At 38.8% G+C, this 20,618-nt stretch overlaps 1 protein-coding gene across 66 annotated transcripts in view, besides 1 other annotated feature; it reads left to right on the plus strand.

Moving 5' to 3' along the window:
* RIMS2 (regulating synaptic membrane exocytosis 2) overlaps window positions 1–11,738 on the plus strand; it is a 755,485-nt gene extending 743,747 nt beyond the window's left edge. For 65 of the 66 annotated variants that reach the window (NR_145710.2, NR_145711.2, XM_017014015.3 and 62 more), the window contains 5 exons: window positions 560–701; window positions 4,345–4,457; window positions 5,131–5,232; window positions 6,668–6,807; window positions 7,246–11,738. Coding sequence is in view for 64 of the 66 variants with exons in the window: in XM_017014015.3 (XP_016869504.1) it covers window positions 560–701; window positions 4,345–4,457; window positions 5,131–5,232; window positions 6,668–6,807; window positions 7,246–7,464 (716 nt within the window). In the remaining 2 variants the exon portion in view is untranslated. The remainder of the gene's footprint in view (window positions 1–559; window positions 702–4,344; window positions 4,458–5,130; window positions 5,233–6,667; window positions 6,808–7,245) is intronic. The other variant, NM_001348484.3, reaches the window with a different exon arrangement.
* Window positions 606–675: an enhancer, noted in NCBI's record as "active region_27792". NCBI's record gives its function as "activates an Ori minimal core promoter by ATAC-STARR-seq in GM12878 lymphoblastoid cells {active_cell/tissue: GM12878}" and the evidence as "EXISTENCE:reporter gene assay evidence [ECO:0000049][PMID:35858748]".

Consider the following 20,618-nt stretch of genomic DNA (forward strand, 5'->3'; position numbering starts at 1 on the left):
TCTCCTTTGTGTAGATTCTTTTTCCTTCTAATATCTATCACCCTACAAAAACAGACTTTCCTATAAAAGTTAAGACTGGAATTTGAGGATTACTCACCATCTGTTTCTTTGTAAATTGTGTGAAGGCCTGGTTCTTTTACTATGATTAAAAGAAAGGGAAAAATATGGTAAGCAGAAATTAATCTGGCATTTAAATATTACAATGAAAACAAAAGATAGGCATAAATTAACCTGCATTTAAGTATTACAATGAAAATAAGGCTTATTTTTTTTCCTTAGGTTGAATCTTTTTGTTTCTTATATTAACAATTTGCACACTGTTTTAAATGGAAATAAAACAATGGTGTTTTGTGCTTCTACAGATTTTTTAGAAAATCTTCATCCCACTCAACATGACATTGTTTAAAATTGTTTTAAATACCTTTTCTTTCTGCCTCCTTAACAAGAGCACTTTTTATTTACACAGTTCTTTGCATCTGATGATCTCAGAGCCTTCGCTGATATTTCTTACCACATAGTGATTACAAAGCTGTTACACTTTTTGTTTCTATCTCTGCAGAAGCAGGAGGTAAAAAACTAAGGAGCACTGTCCAAAGAAGTACAGAAACAGGCCTGGCCGTGGAAATGAGGAACTGGATGACTCGACAGGCAAGCCGAGAGTCTACAGATGGTAGCATGAACAGCTACAGCTCAGAAGGAAAGTGAGTGAGGCTGCATGTGATGTGTGTCTCCTCCGTGCCTCACCTATCTCACTCTATGTGCTTTCACAGAGATTTTCCAACTCTCATGCTCTTCAGAACCACTTTAATTTTCACTGGCTGATTTCCTGTGAAGAGAACTTTGCTCACCTGCCACTGAACAATGTGACATATCTGGCTTTTTATATCAAGTGAAATAGGTTTGGGGATAAAGTGTTTTGCCTTAATGGCAAGTTGCTAAAGTGTGACTCTTACAATGCAATGCAAATAAAATATTTTGCCCTAGCTTGAAATAATATATAAAAGCCCAAAAATAATAAGCATGCATGCCACACCATGTGAACAATGCTAGTTTTAAGAATCGCCATCCTGAGAATTATTGCTAAAAAATATGGAATGCTGGCGTATACTTAGTTCCATGTTGCAACAAACAACTATAATTATTTAATTATATTAAATATAACAGCCAAAAAGAAATGCCACCAAAAAACTTGGGGAGCCTTTTACATAGTTATGAAGTAGCTTTCCTTTGAATCAACTGTCTCAGATATTTTTAAAGCATTTTTAGCTTGTGTAGTTCTGTCACCAACAAATTAATAGTACTTAGCAACTAAAGATCTGGAAGTGGGGCTGTAAAGGACATTAACAAAGGAAAATGGGGTTTACTGGCCTCACTGTCATCACTGTGTAAGTATTAGATGTTTAGATAACCTATGTGTGGCCAGTTTACAGATGTGAGGCCGTAGGAGCTGTTGGCACAGCATGAATGGTATGTCTCAGGATAATTTGTCTAGCACAACAACATAAATACAAGAGATATAACTGGTTTCTCTACATTTGTAAGTAGGCTTATTTGGGATACTTATAGAAACAAACTAAAACATTTGTATTAACTAAATATTTGAGAGTTGAGGTCGGGGGGAGAAATAGATTCACTATTCATTAAGGAAGTCTAAAAAGAGAGGGAAAATCAACTGAAAAGTGAATGTGCACTGAGCACTAATCATTGCAAAGAACTATATTAGATACTGTTAGGGATATAAAAATGTTTACACTATAGCCCCTGCTCCAGATGTTTATAGTCTTATTGGAAAAAGAGGATGAATACCCATAAATTCATTCAACAAATATTACCATACCTTCCAGTGGGCCAGTCACTGTGCTGTACGTTGGGGATGTAAGTCATAGGAGGGAGGGAGTAAATCTCCATGGCTAAGATTATGGGCTTTGCAGTCATATAGGTCTGGTTCTCTCATCTGGGTCTTTTCTTTTCTTTCTTTCCTTTTTATTTTTTTTGTTTGTTTTCTTTTCTTTTGTTTCCTTTCCTTTCCTTTACTTCTATAGAACATACAATATTTCAGGCATGGTTCTAGATGCTAGAGATACAGCAGTGAACAAAGCAGACCCCATCTCCCCAAAAATAAAATACTCTCATCACATTTACACTCTCATAGAGAAGACAAACAATAAGAAAAATTGTTAAAATGTATATAAAAGAAAAACTAGTAAAATTTATAGTAGATTAGATAGCACACATGCTAAGGAGAAAAATACAGCAAGGAAGAGAGATGATCAAGACGGTGGAGGTAAGATTTGCCACAGGATAGACGGGGAAAGGAAATATTCGAGTGAAGATCTGAAGGAATTTAGTGAGCAGAGGGATATCTGAAGGAAGAACATTCTAGAATGAAGATTGCTTCAGAGGCCCTGAAGCAGGAGCTGGCCTGGTGTCAGCAGTGAGGAGGGCAGCACTGGGGAGGAAGGGTGAGAGCAGTAAAGGATGAGGAATTAGGGCATGTGGCAGGGGCGGGGGCAGCTTATGTAGACTTTATGTATTGTAAGGACTTTGCTTTTACTGAGTGGGATGAGAAGATGTTGGATGGTTTTGAGCAGAGGAGTGACAGGATCTGACTTCCGTTTTTGGCATATCAGTCTGAGTGCTGAGGGGGCAAGGGGCCAGGACAGCAAGGGCAGCAACAGGGAGAGCATTCACAAGGCTGCTACAGGAATACAGAAGCTAGGGAATGGTGGCTTGGACCAGAGTGTAGCATTAGTGAGGTCAGATTCTGAATGTATTTTGACAGTAGAGCAAGTAAGATTTATTGATGCATTTGATGTGGGTAATGAGAGAAAAGAGAGTATATTTGTTTGCCAGGGCTACCATAATAAAATACCACAGGCTGGGTGGCTTAAAAAGCAGGAATCTATTTTCTCACAGATCAGTAGGCTAGAAGTCCAAGATCAAGGTGTCTGCAGGTTTGAGTTCTCCTGAGGCTCTTCTCCTTGGCTTGCAGATGGCCACCTTCTTGTGATGTCTTCTCACAGCATTTTCTCTGTGCTTATCTACTCCTGGTGTCTCTTCCTCTTCTTATAAGGACATGGGTCATATTGGATTAGGGCACCACGCAAATGGCCTCATTTAACCTTCTCTCTTTAAAGGGCCTATGGCCAAATACAGACATATTGAACTTTAGGGCTTCAACATAAGAATTTTGGGGTGACACGATTCAGTCCATAACAGAGAGGAAGGAAGAAAGATGGCTCCAAGGTTGACCAGTTGGAAGAATGAAGAATGAGATTACCATTTATCAAGATGGAAATCTTTTGACAGGACCAGAGTTTGGATTTTTTGTTTGTGTGTTTGCAGTCGGGGGACAGGAGCATGGAGAGAGTCAGTTTTAGACAATTTGAGTTTCAGGTGTCTATTACATATCCAAGCAGATATGTAGACTAAGCAATTGGAACATAGGTCTGTGGCCCAAGGGAGAGATCCAAGCTGGAGATGCCAATCTAGGCAATAGCAGCATAGATGGCATTTAAAACCATGAGACTGGATGAGATTATCAAGGGAATTCAGACATAGAAAAAAGATAAAAGGTCAAAGGATCGAGCTCCAGTGTTTAGTGTCAGAACTAGCAGAGGAGGTTAAGGCTGAGTGGCAGAAGGAAAAGTGGGAAACCAGGAGACTGGAGTGTGCAGAAAGCAGTGGGAGACAGTGCTTCAAGGAAGAGGGGGCAAGGGAAATTGTGTCAAATGATCAGATAATTTTAGTGGAGTGGCAACAATGAAAACATGATTAGACTTTCAAGAGAGAATGAGAGGAAAGAAATTGAAGACAGCACATAGAGACAATTATTTCAAGGAGAGAAATGGGGTAGTAACTGGAGAGGGAAATGGGGTCAGGAAAGGGATTTTTTTATATGGTGGAAGAAATAACAGCATATTTGTATGCAGATGGGAATGATCCAGAAACATTTCTTCGTGTATGAAATAGGAGAAATAATAGAATCTATCATAGTGCAGCTAAGAGGATTAAATATGATAAAGCCTGGATGGAGTAAGTGCTCAATATGTGCTGAGTGTTACTCATAGAAATCACAGTCTGCCTTTGAGACCAAGGAAGAGAAAGACTCACCAGCAGAAGCCTGCAGTGCAGTGTGACAGGTGCTTCTGGTGTCATACTTGGGCTGCTGAGAATATGAAGGAAGAGTCCTGGGAGGTGGAACTGGGTATTTGGATCCAGTAAATATAAGTGACAAAATAATAGGACTAGTCTTGCCACAATAATGAGGCTAGAATGAAACCAAGCTTACCTGAAAATAAATAGGGGTTGGGGATTTAATCTCATATGTTATTTTGCTTTCAGTCTGATTTTCCCTGGTGTTCGCTTGGCCTCTGATAGCCAGTTCAGTGATTTCCTGGATGGCCTTGGCCCTGCTCAGCTAGTGGGACGCCAGACTCTGGCAACACCTGCAATGGGTAAGAATTTCTGCCACATGATTTCACTATTTTGTTTTAGATTGTTGAAAATGAAATTCTCTAAATTTCATAGAATCTTCTCTCTCTCTCTCTCTCTCTTTCCCTCTCTCTCTCCCTCTATTTTTTTTTTTTTAAGACAGAGTTTCACTCTGTTGCCCAGGCTGAAGTGCAGTGGCATGATTATGGTTCACTGCAGCCTTGACCACCTTGGCTCAAGAAATCCTCCCACCTCATCTTCCCAAGTAGCTGGGACTACAGGCACACGCCACCATAACCAGCAAATATTTTGACTTTTTTTTTGTAGAGACAGGGCCTCATTGTGCTGACCAAGCTGGTCTCAAACTCCTGGCCTCAAGCGATCCTCCTGCCTCCACCTCCCAAAGTGCTGGGATTACAGGCATGAGCCACTGGGCTCAGCCCAGTGGAATCTTTAACAATATTATCAGCAGGAATCAAGACCTTAGATTTTAAGAATAAAAAATATTTAACCATTATTTCTCTTTTAATTTTAATGCTTTTTAAAGGAAGATATTATTGATAGAATTTTAAGTATATTTGAATTTAAGAAAATATATGGGAAATGATGAAACGATGTTAAACCAAGGTCTTTGACTCTATTTTCCTTAGTGCATTTGTATATTAAAGCACATTTGTTCCTTCCTTCTTCCATTAGGTGACATTCAGGTAGGAATGATGGACAAAAAGGGACAGCTGGAGGTAGAAATCATCCGGGCCCGTGGCCTTGTTGTAAAACCAGGTTCCAAGACACTGCCAGGTAAAAACAAAAGAGATTTTTCTATTATTGTCCATAATCCATATTGTTTCAATTTAGAGACCTTTTGATTGGTTTAGACCTTTGATTTAGTTAATCAAGATTACTAATGGATGGTCCATTATGACTGGTCTGGTGCTGGAGTCATTTGTGTGTTTATCCTGAATGAGTGTTCAGTGAGGATGATCCGGTGGGGATAATGTAAGTTGTTAAATAAGTACATACATAGTAGAAACCACTGCAAAATAAAAACCACCCCACTTAGATCATTCATTTTGTCACACCATGTACACAAGGAGTTCTTTTTTCTTATTAGCTAGTCTTTTGTGTTATTCTTCAGTTTCTCTAGAGCTTCAAAATTCTCCTCAGGAATCCATAAGTCTCTGGAATTAGAATAAAAAATAGATACAGGCTCCAAGAGTAGCATAAGCTATGTATGCTGGATATTCTAATTATAAGACTTTTACTTCCTATAATCTGAGGAAAGAGAGGCACTATTATAACTTCTTATGCTACATATTTCAAATTGAAATGTCATTTTAATCTAAGGTGCATTGAAGCCATGGAAGGTGCTACAGTGCTCCAAATACATTGTGTAGAGATCGTTTGATAAGATGTATAAAACAATTTCTGAGGATTCTGAAACTTGATTTCTAGCCTCAGCATCTCTACTGATTGACTTGTAATTTTGACTCTCAACTTTTCTATTTCTAGCTTCAGCATCTCTACTGATTGACTTGTAACTTTCACTCTGAACTTTTCTATCCTTGCAGAAATTTTTAATTATAATATATAATCTGTTGTATAACCTGGCACTGGTGATTAAGACAGTTGTGTTTATATATGTCTTAGAGCTAGTCAACTCACTCTGCTATAAAAAAATCATGATTTGTACATGCATGAAAATGGTTTTTATGAAGTGTCTGTTGGATAAATTTTAAGCCATAGATTGTCTAATTAGTTGCCTCTTAGCTAATTTGATCAATATCACATGAAATTCCACTACTGTTATACCCACACCACCACCAGTAAGTAAGTACTTTTGAGTGATAATCACTATTTGTGGGGATGAGTGAATGAAACAATATAGCTTCAAGCATGTTAAATAGATTTAAGTATTGATAAATTAAAGACTGAGCAGGACATCTCTCAGGACTGGAAGCATTTCCCTTTATTTAATGCAGTGTGTAAACCTATATAACCAGTTGATGAAAAAAATGATAATAAACTCAGAGGTTATGTCAGCATCCCCTAAAACTCCCTGAAAGACACAGTTATCCACTGTTTATCTAATGATTTTGACAGAATGCAGCTAGGCCAGTGGCATGATTGCTAGCTCTTTCAGCCAAAGATTACTAAACTGGTAAATGTCACCGTGCGTCGGCCATTTCATGTCCATAGTTTATTGCTCATTCTCCTCTGTGTTTTCTTTCCCAAGCACCGTATGTAAAAGTGTATCTATTAGATAACGGAGTCTGCATAGCCAAAAAGAAAACAAAAGTGGCAAGAAAAACGCTGGAACCCCTTTACCAGCAGCTATTATCTTTCGAAGAGAGTCCACAAGGAAAAGTTTTACAGGTATCTACTTAATTGTTTATCCCTTACCTAAGAAAGTATTTTTCATGGGGTCAGACATTATACCCCAAATCTTTTCTGTTGTATTCTTTTATGTTCCTCACAAAGGAAATTCTTTGGAAACTTTTCAAAGCAGTGGCCCGTGCTATAAAGCAATATACGTTGTCATTTTCTTTAAAGTGATTTACAGACATGCAAATCCCCACCACACGTAAATTCCAGTCTCTCTGGATTTCTTATGACCTTAATGCTTCAGTACAATTTCCCCAGTGTACCTTTAGATACCACTAGTTAAAGACAACTATTCTATTATGCAGATTTTAACTTGATCTTTGATGTCAGAAAATTAACTGAATGTACTTTAGTATTTTAATATATTTTACAAGTTTTTCTATGTACACAGTTACACTGACATCACTCTACTTTTTATTTTGCCAACAGATCATCGTCTGGGGAGATTATGGCCGCATGGATCACAAATCTTTTATGGGAGTGGCCCAGATACTTTTAGATGAACTAGAGCTATCCAATATGGTGATCGGATGGTTCAAACTTTTCCCACCTTCCTCCCTAGTAGATCCAACCTTGGCCCCTCTGACAAGAAGAGCTTCCCAATCATCTCTGGAAAGTTCAACTGGACCTTCTTACTCTCGTTCATAGCAGCTGTAAAAAAATTGTTGTCACAGCAACCAGCGTTACAAAAAAAAAAAAAAAAATCACAGGTTGCAAACCCTGGTAACACTGCATGCTTAATGTTGTGTCTTCTGAGCCTGTTTCTAGGGATACAAAGCAATCCTGTGTTCTCAGAGGAAGTTGCACACATTGTGCCCTAAAGAAGGCCCTCAGGTGAAAGAGCAGAGCTGTGAAGAACTATCAGATTTGGAATTCAATGACACTCGAGTTCTGGTCCAATCTGAAGCCATGGATTAATCTCAAAGAATCAGTCAGTTTCATGCAACAGAAGCCCTTTTCAATGGCACCTTTATATTTTTATCATTCCTTTTTCTTCATTTATCTAACCCCAAAGCCCTGATATGCCACAGAAATGGAGCTATACAGCCATGAAGCGGTGTTACAGGTGAGGAGTGTAATCCTAGGAAGCATCAGGTGAAAAGCAGGAGACCAAAGAAGTGGTCAGGAACAATCATCAGCCCTCCTCTGGGCGGGAATCAGAGCAGTCAGTCCAGCAGGAAGAGTGGCAGACTTTGTAGCTCCATGGGCACGTCAATTACTAATGCTAAGATGTGTTGGACTCTGAAAAACAAAATTCTGTGGCTACACTGTACTGAATGAAATTAAAGAAACTTTTTTTGCATGGACACAGATTAGCTGAATACTTAAATTATTTTCTTGGGGCTGCAACTTGCAAAAAAAAAAAAAAGAATAAAAATCAGCCATTTTCAACAATTTATATTATTTTTAAAAATAAATTTCACTAGTGCATGGTTTTAAAAAGGAGAGAGAATGCAACAGGGTGATACAAAGATACACCATGTTTATTCTTTAATCATAGTCTGTGTTTTGGCAGACATTACAAATGGAAATACTTTCTAGAAGATACTTAAAATTCTCTTTATGTGACAAATAAGTATAATATATTCAATTTATTTCCATGTTAAATATACAAATCTTATGAAGTTCAATATGTGCAAATTTTTCACATCTTTCTCCTTCTCTCACTTTACCTCTTCTCCCTCTTTTAAACTTTTCTTTCTCCCTGCCAGAGTGAACCTTATACTAAAAAATTACAAGTTTTGATCTGATCCTCTCTCATACCCCATGTTTGATTCAGAGCTGTAGATGCCTCTGAATTTGCGAATTTCTCAAGGGAAAATTAACTTTAAGAGCTTTCTTTATTTCAAGCATGTTGAAAAGGATTTTGCAACATGACTTGGGAGTACATTAAAGTAAGTCAGCATGTATTTGACGAAGAAGATATTTGAACTTTTGCAGTTTATTGTACAGTGCATGGTAATTTTTTCACCTTTAAAATTCAGTTTACAGGAAAATTCTAAAATCATGTTGCCATTGTGATGTCCAATAAATTTGTTTTTAGCACCAGCATTATTCATACAGGGGTTAAAGTATTATTTGTAGAAGGTCTTAGGTTTTGTTTGTTTTTTAATCATTTAAAGCAATTTCTTTAGCCAGTTTCCATTTACTATGTGAATAGAAGCACTGCTAAAAATTGGGAACCCTGAAACACAGGGCTGTTTATTAATTCATTTTTCTGTAGTAAAATTCAATTTTTCACAAATTATATTTCTAAAGAAATATAGTAAACATAAATTTGCAACAATTTTAAAGCTCCAGTTTTTAGGTGACTCAAAGAAAGTCATTATGCCTATTAATAGTTATTTGATGCCATCACCAAAAGTCTATGTGAAAATCTCCTAAAGTCAAAACCCCTGCCTTTGGTTTTACAGACGGTTATTACCATTGGGTGGAGCTGCAAGGTCAAATTTCTCCTAAGTTCCCCTATTTAGAGGAAAAGTCACTGGTTATTGTAATAAACCACCCATGGTTCTTTATGTACATTTTGATAACACATTATTATAGCTTGATTTTAATTTTTTGCATTAATTTTTGAAATCCACATACATCTCATTTGTTTAAATTAAGGCCATGCACAAATATTTTTTTTAGTTCAGTGCTGACCATTAAAAACTATCATGCTTGATACGGTGCAAAAGTTAAAATGAGTATCACTAAAAATGCCTTCTTTTTATGTGGTGCAATATGAAATACACCAAGACTGTGTCTTGACATTCTGATGGACCCAGGTAAAGTTGTTAAAAGAACGAATAAAACTTTATTAAAATAATTTAGACACCTGTGTACCAGCAACAATTGATTTAATAGACCTATAGTGTCTATACTATCCCTTAGAATAAAGGTTTATGATTTTCCTGATACTAAGATGCAGTCACATAATCTTTTGTGCATATTCCTATACAAATTATTTCTAATTTTAATAAGAAGGACGTGACTACGGAATATTTGTACATACTTGTCATTATGCAGTATTTATTTAAAAGTTGGTGTTTTTTTTTAATTTTCACATCTGCACCTCGACTTGTGGTTTAGTCATGTAACTAGCACTATGCCAGTGACCGTTGTTGCCCTGTACATAGTATGTTTGAAAAGTAAAGGGAATTCCAGTTGGGAAAAAAGGGCAGATTAGTCCTGTAATGAACACCAACTAATGTAAATCAAATTCATTCTGGTGATGGTATTTAACACTTTAAATAAAACATTTTCTTTACAGGCGTCTGCAGTGCTTTCTCTGACTTTTCTCCCCACACAGCCCTGAGCCTGCTGCAGCTCATTCCCTGAACTCATGTGTCATTTAAAGAATGAAATCACCGTCTCCTACTTCTCGATAACATAAGTGGACTGCTGGTCTTAGCAGCGGCCCTCAGTAGAGCATTTCTTTAAAACGCCAAAGGATTTCTGCTCACACTATGAAAAGGTGCTGTTTTTTAAAAGGTTGTTATTTTGGATTGAGTTTCTTTCTGATTAAATGACTCAGCAACTCACAGATTTTTTGAGTGAAATTTTTAATTTAGTCATGGCCTTCACTGACAGCATAGTCACAAATACTCAGGCACAGGCTCTGCTAGCCCCTGGGTGAAGATGGCGAAGGCATAACTGGCTTTATGCAGCATATGTGTTTCTGCTAAAGTGTCAGTTTTGCTTTGTGGGGAGTGGAGGGTGTGTTTTCGGGATGGGGAGACGTGGTAACCTGACATGTAACAACCTGTCCGGAGACTAGCTTCTACGTGTGGATATGAATGGGTGAGAGGATTTCTCCATATCCTTCTGGGGCGATTCCTCAACTGGGAGAAGGAAACCCTGCAGAGTTCTCATGGGAGTCTGCTTCAGGTTTGAAATTTAAGAGCTAGTTTGGATTCATGTTTAGTAATCGAACTGAAATCTAAGTCTAGCTGTCTCTCTATTCTTGGAAACAACCATTTCCTCCATTTCCAAAGACTCAACTCGAGTCCAATTCCCCCTATCTGTCCCATATATTTTTCCTTTATCCCATATATACCCCCTACTCTAGTGAATTGTTTCTTTGTTGTTCATTCCTGTTCTTTGTTGTTCATATACATTCCTGTATATGAACAACATTTTCCTTTATCCCATATATACCCCCTACTCTAGTGAATTGTTTCTTTGTTGTTCATTCCTGTTTCTTTGTTGTTCATATACATTCCTGTTATAAAAATTCCCTTCCCTTTCTTATGTGCCCTCTCCTGAAAAGCCCTTCTACTTTTCTCAATAATGATCCATGCGAGTCCCTTCTTGCAACTCCCAGCTCACGAATGAGCTCTTTCGGCAACTCCTGACTAAACCCTAACAACATGGCTGCCATTGATGCCAACACCTTCACTTTCCCAGGGACCCCAGATGCCAAGGCTCCATAGGCAACAATAAAGGATATGATGGTCCTGTAGTGGGTATGATAGAATTAGGCAAGAGATCACCAAAGCTGTCTGCCTACTACTGATGTAAACCTTGACATTCTGTGCACGTAAAAATCATGTGCTCAATGTGTTTGTCTCAACTCCCTCAGCTCGTGATGCCCTCAGGGTTCTGTGGGCATTTATGCACTGAAGAAACAGGAGTTCACACATCCACCTCTGGACTGTGAAATGTGTATTGAGAAATACTTTGCAAGAGAGAATTTTTTTAAGTGAACAAACAACAAGTCTGTGCCACACACATCTTCCATATGCCCTGACTCAGGTCACTTAATCTCCAGGATTTCATTTCCTCACCTGGAAAATATGGAGTTTGAGGTAGATTCTCATCTATCATTAAATCAACACTTTAACTAAAACGTAAGCTCCTTCAGGGCAGAGACCGTATCTTCAGTATCAAAAACAATGTTTGACACATAGCTGCTCAATAAACATCTGTCCAATGAAGGTTTATTTAGTCCTTGCTTTATTTGAGGCACTATTTCAAGCATAGTAGTGAACAAAACAAACCGTAGTCCTGTCCTCATGGGGCTTTCATTCTTCTAAAGAAGACACATTGGGTAAACAATTCCAAGTGTGATAACGTTCCTAAAGTGAAGCCCCCAGAATGCTACAGGAGGATACAGCAAAGTGTTTCAACCCAGTTTAGACATTTAGGGAAAGCTTATTAAAAAAATGAACAGGAGTTAAATAGAAGGAGATAATGGCAATGGGAAGCAAGACTATGTCAGGCAGAGAGAACAATGGCAAGAAATTTGAGGAAAGGGAATCATTACCACTTGTATTATAGTGTCTAAAACAGTGATGAGCACATAAGAAGTGAATGAGTTGAATGAATGCATCTGTAGATTCCTGCATTTGGGGCTATTTCTAAAGCACTGAGAGTTTTATTGGGAAGCTAGTTTTGATTTAAAGTTGATGTGAAATCTATTTCTAAATGAGATAATTGATAAGGTCTAATCTTCGGTTTCATTATATTTGAAATGGTTCTCAGAATGATGCTTAGTCCTTAATCCCATTAAATGGTTAGGCCTTTGAACACAGGAATCAAAGCCTGCAATTCCATACCCAGCACAGCACCTAGCTCAATGCCGAGCACATTATAGGTGCCAGATACCCAGCATTAACAGTGAATGTCCTTCTCAAATATTCTCAGATAGATTATTGTCAGCTGGGCACAGTGGCTCACACCTGTAATCTCAGCACTTTGGGAGGCCGAGCCGGGCAGATCACTTGAGGCCAGGAGTTTTGAGACCAGCCTGGAAACATGGAGAAACCCCATCTCTACCAAAAATATAAAAATTAGCCAGGCATGATGGCAGGCGCCTGTGGGAGGCTGAGGCATGAGAATCACTTGAATCCCGGAGGCTGAGGTTGCAGCGAGCTGCGATCACGCCCCTGCACTCCAGCCTGGGCGACAGAGCAAGACTGTGTCTCAAAAAAAAATAAATAAATAAAAGAAAAGATTATTGTCATAAACATGGAAGATTCCTGAGTCCTGAAATTTATGTTCATGGTTTGTGTATGGTTACATCAAAAAGACTTTAAACCTGTCGTGTCCTTAATGCCTTTTGAGTACCAGCTTCCTATCATCCTGCCTTGGGGCAGGGGACCCTATTGCTTATTATAAGCTTTCTTTTCTAGTCCATCCACATTTTTCCTCTGAGACCTGCCATTCCCCAGCCCCATGTGATGGTATTATAGAGGGTGCAGACTCTTAAACTGGGCCAATCTTTACCTTGCCTATGAAGATTTGTTATTTTTTTGTTTTATTTTGTTTTGCCTTGATACCAAAGAGGCAGTCCATCTCCAGTGACAAAAACTATCCCATTGTGGGGGAAAAGTCAGGAGCTTCCAGTGACAGTGTTTTCTGATATCTGATGAAAGTTGGTTTATGCTAAGAAAGTCAGCAAAACCAAGTGGAGGCAAGAATGTGGAGAGAGTCCTACAGATTCCGCATTCCTAGTTCCATTACGACTGAGGATCAGCGGCATCCCTGCTCTTCCAAGAAAGCTCACACAGTCTAGCTGTAATTAGTTGAGTTCCTGCTGCTTGAGGTCATGAGTCCTAATTAATATATTTGGCCAAAGATGATTCTAATGAAACTAGAATCTCGAAGGAGCCATTGGGTTCACCTAGGGCAACCTCTTAGCTTGAAGGGAAACCCTAAGGGGCGGCCATTAAGCCTCTGCTTGACAAGTGGATGGAGAAATAAACGCTGCAATCCATTTCATTCCATAACATTTAGCCTAAATTGTATTCCTTAACACTCAGCCTCAATCTCCTTCCAGTATTTTATACTTCCTGGGATAGCACTACCTTGCAGAAATGTACAGCAAATGGCTGATCGCTCTTCCATAGATAGTCCTTCAAATATTTAAGTGAGCTATCTTATTATCCCCAACTCTTAGAAAGCAGAATAGCATGTTGGCTAAAAATTCCTGTTCTAAATAAGAATGCCTGAGTTCAAATATTGCTTTCTCATTTGCTGTATAATAACTATGTAATAGCTATATAACCTTGAATAAGCCACTTATCGTGTCTGTTTTCTTATCTATTAAATGGGGAAGTAAAGATAATAACAGTACCTGACTCACAAGGTTGTTGAGAGGATTAAACAATGTAACGCAGACAAGGGACTAGCACAATACCAGACATACAATTACTCAGTAAGTATTAGCTATTTCTGTGGTGGTACTGATTGTCATTATTACTATTAGTTTTACTACCGTTAGTTTTTTTTCTCTTCCAGGCACTTCTAATGCCTTCAACACTTGTCACTTACTAGAAACCTCATCATCTTATCTGTCCTCTAAATATACCCTCTCCATTTGCTTAAGCAAATGACTCTGGATGAGTACTGGCTCAAGAAGAGTACTGTGGACTCTGCTTTGTAAACACAACCTGTGATTCTGTTGCCGTGTTCTGCAGTTACCTCACATAGCCCTTTCAGACTAGGCTGGTGGTCAAACGAATCTCTCAGATCCTCCATATGAATTGCTTTCTTACTTGTCCTTGTGGAATTTCATTTTTAGCCAAGCACAGATGTAAAAGTTTTCTTGCTAAATTTTTTTCTTATTGGTTTTGTCCAATATTCCAGCCTATCAAAATCATTACAACTGCCCTAAATCTGCATTCACTCTGAATTTTGCTGAAAGCTTAAGATTTATAAAACATGTCAGCTTTCACTGCCAGCTCTGTGTCACGTGCAGTTCTGATAAGGACGTTTCCTCTATCTTGATTCACATCTTTGATAAAATGTTGACTAAAATAGGGCCAAGATCAAAGTTTTGTAACTCTTTTCTGGTAATATTAATTGATATCTATAGTAGTTATTGTCATCTAACACATTATAATCTACAAAATGACTTTAATACACGTGATCCAAATCAGCAGTGCTCACCCTTTTTGGCACCGGGAACTGGTTTCGGAAGACAATTTTTCCACAGACTGGTGTGGTTGGGGGATGGTTCCGGGATGATTCAAGCACGGTATGTTTATTGTGCATTTTATTTCTATTATTATTACATTGTAATATATAATGAAATAATTATACAACTCACCATAATGTAGAATCAGTGGGAGCCCTCAGCTTGTTTTCCTGCAACTAGATGGTCCCATCAGGGGTGATGACAGTGACAGATCATCAGGCATTAGAGTCTCATAAGGAGCATGCAACCAAGATCCTTCACATGTGCAGTTCACAATAGGCTTTGCACTCCTATGAGAATCTGATGCCACTGCTGCTCTGACAGGAGGCGAGGCTCAGGCAGCAATAAGAGTGATGGGGAGTGCCTATAAATACAGGTGAATCTTCCCTCACTAGTCACCTCCTCACCTCCCACTGTGCAGCCCAGCTCCTAACAGCCTATGGGCCGGTACTGGTCCATGCCCTGGAGGCTAGGGACCCTGATCTAAATTAATCCTTATGACTACTTTATGAGGTGAGTAGTAACATCAACTTTATTTTGCAGATAAGAAAACTATGGTTCATATAGTTTAAATAATGTGACCAAAGTCCCCCATCTGAGAAGGGCCACATCCAGATGAAACGTGGGTCTTCTGGCAATAAATCGAGTGGGTCCATCAATTGAAGGGCCGCTTCACTTGACCACAGTCCACCACACAGTTCCCCACTTTATCCACAGAAAATTCATTATGGCTTTCTCGAATGATTTGCAGAAATACAGATATGTTTTCCTCATAGAGTAATCTAGTTGCCAACAGAAAGCATGTCAGGCAGGGCAGGGCGGGGAGGGAGAAGGAGGTTGCTGGTTATATGGCAACTTTTCTGAGTTACTGTTGGGACTTGACTAGAACATGTATATGGACTTGGCATAAAATGGGCACCCACGAGCGGCAGCTCTTTTTCTTATCATGAGCCTCAACTCCTGTTTTGTTTCCAATTAAAGACTATTCTAGTTGCATGCAAGAGAAGCAAGAGAGAAATGAAATGCTTCAGCATTTTTCCCTTCATTATCTTTGAGTAGTAGAAGGGATCTGCCCCCTCCTTGACAACTCCTTGGACCCAAAGGAAATAAAGGACATTTTTTATCACCTTCAGCATTTTTTCAGCCATTCTGGATTCTAACCCTCTGCCTCCAGCCACTCTTCTTTCAGGTGCATGCCCTGGTTCTATTTGTCCTCATTATGGGTCCAGCCTCCTTCTTTTATATTTATTTGTTAAAATCTGAGTTCAGCAGTGGTGCCTGTCTGTAATTAAACTGGCTTTGGCTTTGGTTTTGTTTATGTATTTGTTTATATATTCATTTTATATAGGCAAATATTTATACATACCTACTATTTCCCTTTGTTTCTCATTGGAATTTTAGAATAATAATTTTATTTTTTTCTAGATTTTTCCATGCATCTTTGGCTATTACCACTCCTGCCAAGGAAACATCCTTACATCCTCTGAATTTTTTCACACATCAATTAAAAATTCCAGGACACGTGTCTGATAACGACCAGCATCCATTTTCCTCATTGTCATGACTATAAAATGAAATAGTGACTTATTCCCAAGTGTGTAAGTGACAAATCTCTACATCACAAACTACAATTTTGTTTTTATTTCTTTAAGAATTACATTCTATTGGCTTGTTCCTGGACTGACACTTACTGGCTGTTCAGCCCTGACAATGTCATTTATATTCTTTTAGCCTCACTACCCCCATCTGCAAAATGGAAATCATAAAACTACCCAATTCATTAGGCTGTTAAGGGGATTAAATGAGATTCTGTATATAGAATACATGGTACTATAAGTGCTATAAAATTAGTGTTCAAATTGCCAATTATTAGCATAAGTAATTGATTAGAATGTCTTGAAAACCATTTCATTCTTTGCTGGACTGTCTCATCTGAAGCACAAGTCTTCTAAGGGAAGCAAAGAGTTCCCTCTGAACACTGGGGACCAAGCTGGGGCATCCCTGCTGGATTTGGCGACGACTCTGCTGAGCCCTCTCATAGCAGACCTTCCCTGGAGAGGAAGGAACCCCCCACAGGCTCAGCAGTCCACTGCCCACGACTACTTAAAAGAGAGACCCCAGTGAGGAATCCCACACTGCAAGGCGGCTCCAGGCCTTCTCAGAAAGGAGCAGCTGGGCAGACAAGTCCAGCAGTCATCCAAAGGATGGGGCTTTAAAAACGCCCCAGCAGAGTTTCACACCCTTGGGCTGGCTCTCAGGGTCCTGGAGAGTCAGGGACGGCAGAGGACGCCTCAGCCCCTGGAAGATCACACTACATAGGAGAATGGCGACCTCAGAATCCTCCTGGATGGATCCTCACATTCCTTATCACACAGCTTCTCTGGTTATTTCCTCAGCAAGGAATAGGTCAGGCTCTTCTCTAGTTCTGACCTCCAAAGGCTGGGCTCCCTGTGTCATAGGTCTGGCTGGTGGGCTGCTGGGGACAGCAGGCTTCTTGGGTGGGCTCACAGTCACACCCAAGGACTGCAGAGCCCCTGCGGACTACAGTGGAACTCTGGCAATACGTTGGGGTTATCCAGACCCTGACCCTGTAACAATTCGGTCCCTGTCTGGGTAGTGATGAAGGGCAGGGATCTGTTTCTGATGAAGAGTCATGAGCTTCCTTGGCAAATCTTATGCTCTCGCTGGAGAAATATTGAAGCTGTGGGGAAAGAGACACGTTGTCTGGGATATTCTTGATTTGTTATAAAACTTCATGTGCTAACATCCATGGAGCTTATGCAAGTTGTTTGCGACATAGTAAAAAACTAACAAAAAATCCTAAAACTTTGGTGGCGGGGGGAGGGGCATCCTGAGTGTCCTGAGATGCCATGAGTGCTGCACACTTAAAGTTGACAATTCAGTAAACTTGTCGATACAAGCCTGGTTAGGGGGAAAATCCCAAACTCGCAAAACCAGAAACCTAGATCTGCGGGGCTTTCTCAGAGAGAAGTGATAGGGTTCCACAAACAGAGCAACAGTCTTCCAATCCACTAGGAGGCAGGCTGTTAAAAATATCCAGGAATCATTGTCCTTCTAAAAGGACTGGACTTCTTTCAATAGCCACCTCTAGATACTCATAAGCACATCTTTTCTGTCTTACATCTTTCCTATCGTCATGACAAATCCCATTTTTGTCTTCAGGTATAAACATTGTGGACTCTTCATTCAACACTGAACCTCAAACCCTGTCCCTCTTTTTCATGGAAGAAAAAAGGAAATGAGGGCAGGAAAAGGGAGAGGGAAGAAGAGTATAGAAAAAGAAGGAACCAGGGAAGAAAATGTCTCAAAACCACCTACCCCTTAACTGGAATTTGGTCTGTTTTTCCCTGTCTAGAATTATAATCCTTGTTTTCTCAGACCTAGCTCAGAGTGAGGCAGGAGAGTAGGTGAATGTGAGTGAGAACCAAAAGCAAAATGGAAACAGAAACAAACATATGGAGACTTCATTTAATTACATAATTACTTCCAGGGTCTTCCCGAAGAGCTGAGTGTGCCTTGAAAGGGTCAAGGAGAGGGGTCATGGCTTTAAGAGGACACTTAAAACCTAGGGTGGAACAAACTTGGGGATGGACAAACCACACTCACAGAGAGTGGGACCACAGCAACGTTGCCATGGAAAGGTCTTCCTTTGGAACACGATGTGTGGCAATGGGAATACCTTGCTGTTGCTGCTGTCAACCACTGCAAAATCGTGTGTCCATTATTTTTCCTTTCTCTTCTTTTACTAAAGAAGTATCAGATTACTGGTCTGCCCAGTCAGGGATATTTTTCTTGTCTGTTGGGTAGAGTGGTTTATCAGCTGTATTTCAAACACACTATTTTGCACCTAGGAAATAGGATCATGGGTCATAAAACACAGGATAGGCCCCAAGGATCCAAAGAACATACGGGTAGGCTCTAGCAAGCAGTCGCCCTGGAAAGAGCCTGCGTAATGCAAGAACTTTTCAATCCTTGATGTCTAGGTGGTGAAACTCTTTACCAATTGCCACGTGCTCCTGACTCTAGTATGCAGTTGGTCTTCTTGATAATGACGATTCTGAATAACACAGTACATGACAGTCTATTCCCTGAATTGTATTTTTAAAACATATTCTGTTCAAGCACTAGCAATGACATGGTGAATAAGATGTCATTCCAGACCTCAAATAGCCTACTCGAATATGACCAAACTGTATGCTTCTATACCTAAAATATGATGTGTCAGTTGCTAGATAAGATCTGCTAGACAGGATCTTAGAAGCATTGGTTAATTTTCTTTAGGAAGGCTGCCCAGAGTAGGTGAGCTTTTCTTTTTACTGTTAACTCATCTGTAAATTGGGGTGCACAATGCCCACTACAAAGGCCCTTGAGAATTTAAATAACAAAAGAAATGACAGCCCAGCGCATAATAAGGACTCAACCAAAGTTGTTTCTTCGTATCAATCAAGCATTGCATTCAGCCATGGGTAACCGAGGCCTCAGTAAAAGTAACCTAAAATTATAGAAGCTTATTTTTTCTTCAAAGTTAGTTACTTCCCGGTTACAAGACGGTAGCTGCAGCTCCTGCCATCTACATTCTAGGAAAAAAGAGACAGGGGACGAGGGAAGAGTAAAGGGACCAGCCAATTGGGTAGCTACCTTTAAAGATTTCCTGGACCTGGAAGTCCTGCCCAAGACTTTCAGTCTAAGGAGGAAAATATTAATGGTTCAATATTTAACCATTAAATATGATGCTCTTTTGTCATATTGAGGAAGTTGCCTCTTATTCTTAATTTGTTGAGAGGTTTTTTTTTTTATCATGAATAGATGTTAAATGTTGCCAAATGCTTTTCCTCCTTCTATTAAGATGATTGTATTTTTTTTTCTCCTGTACTCTGTTAATATAATGAATTACACTGATTGATTTTCCAGTGTTAAGACATTTGAAAATTTGGAAAGAAAGCCAACTTGATCATGATGTATTAGCTCTTTCTATAGTGCTGGATTCAATTTGATATTTTGTTAAGGATTTCTGCACCTATATTTATGACAGATATTTGTTTTCAATTTTTTTTCCTCTAATGTGTTGGTCTTCTGAAAAAACTAGTGGGGAAGTGTTTCCCTGCTCTATTTACTGAACCAACTTGTTTAATATTGATACTATTTCTTTCTTAAATATTTGATAAATGTCAACAGTGAAAACATCTAGACTTGAAGTTTGTTTTCTTTGTGGAAACATTTTGACTATAAATTAAATCTGTTCAGTAAATAAAAGGTTAATAGAATATCTGTCAGTTTGGGCTGTATTTTTCAAGGAGTTTGTCAATTTTATATGTTTCCAAATTTTTCCTTATAAAGGTATGTGTAATGTTATTATCCTTTTAATGTCTGTAGAATCTGAAATGATGACCTCTCTTTCAGTTTTGATATTTTTTCTCTCCTTCTTGAGCAGTCTTACTATGAGTTTATTGATTTTGTTAATCTTTTCAACATACCTATTTGGGGATTTGTCATATTTCTCTATTTTTTCCATTTCATTGATTTCTGTTATTATTTCCTACCTCTAATTACTTTGGATTTAATTTGTTATTTTCCTAGTTTTTTAAGATGGAAGCCTAGATCATTGTTTTAAAATCATTCTTCCTTTCCCATATAATCTTTATAATTATACATTTCCTTCCAAACACTGCTTTAATTGCTTCTACCAAACATTGTTATTTTCATTACCATTCAGCTAAAATGTTTTGTCATGCCTGTGATTGCTATTTGAATCCATGGGCTATGTAGAAATGTACTAATTCCAAATATTTGGACATTTTCTAGCTATCTTATTGTTATTGATTTCTAAGTAATTCTGTTTTGGCCAGAAAACAAATTCTTTAAGATTTTGATCTTT

Source organism: Homo sapiens, chromosome 8 (assembly GCF_000001405.40).
Source record: "Homo sapiens chromosome 8, GRCh38.p14 Primary Assembly".
Classification (NCBI taxonomy): domain Eukaryota; kingdom Metazoa; phylum Chordata; class Mammalia; order Primates; family Hominidae; genus Homo; species Homo sapiens.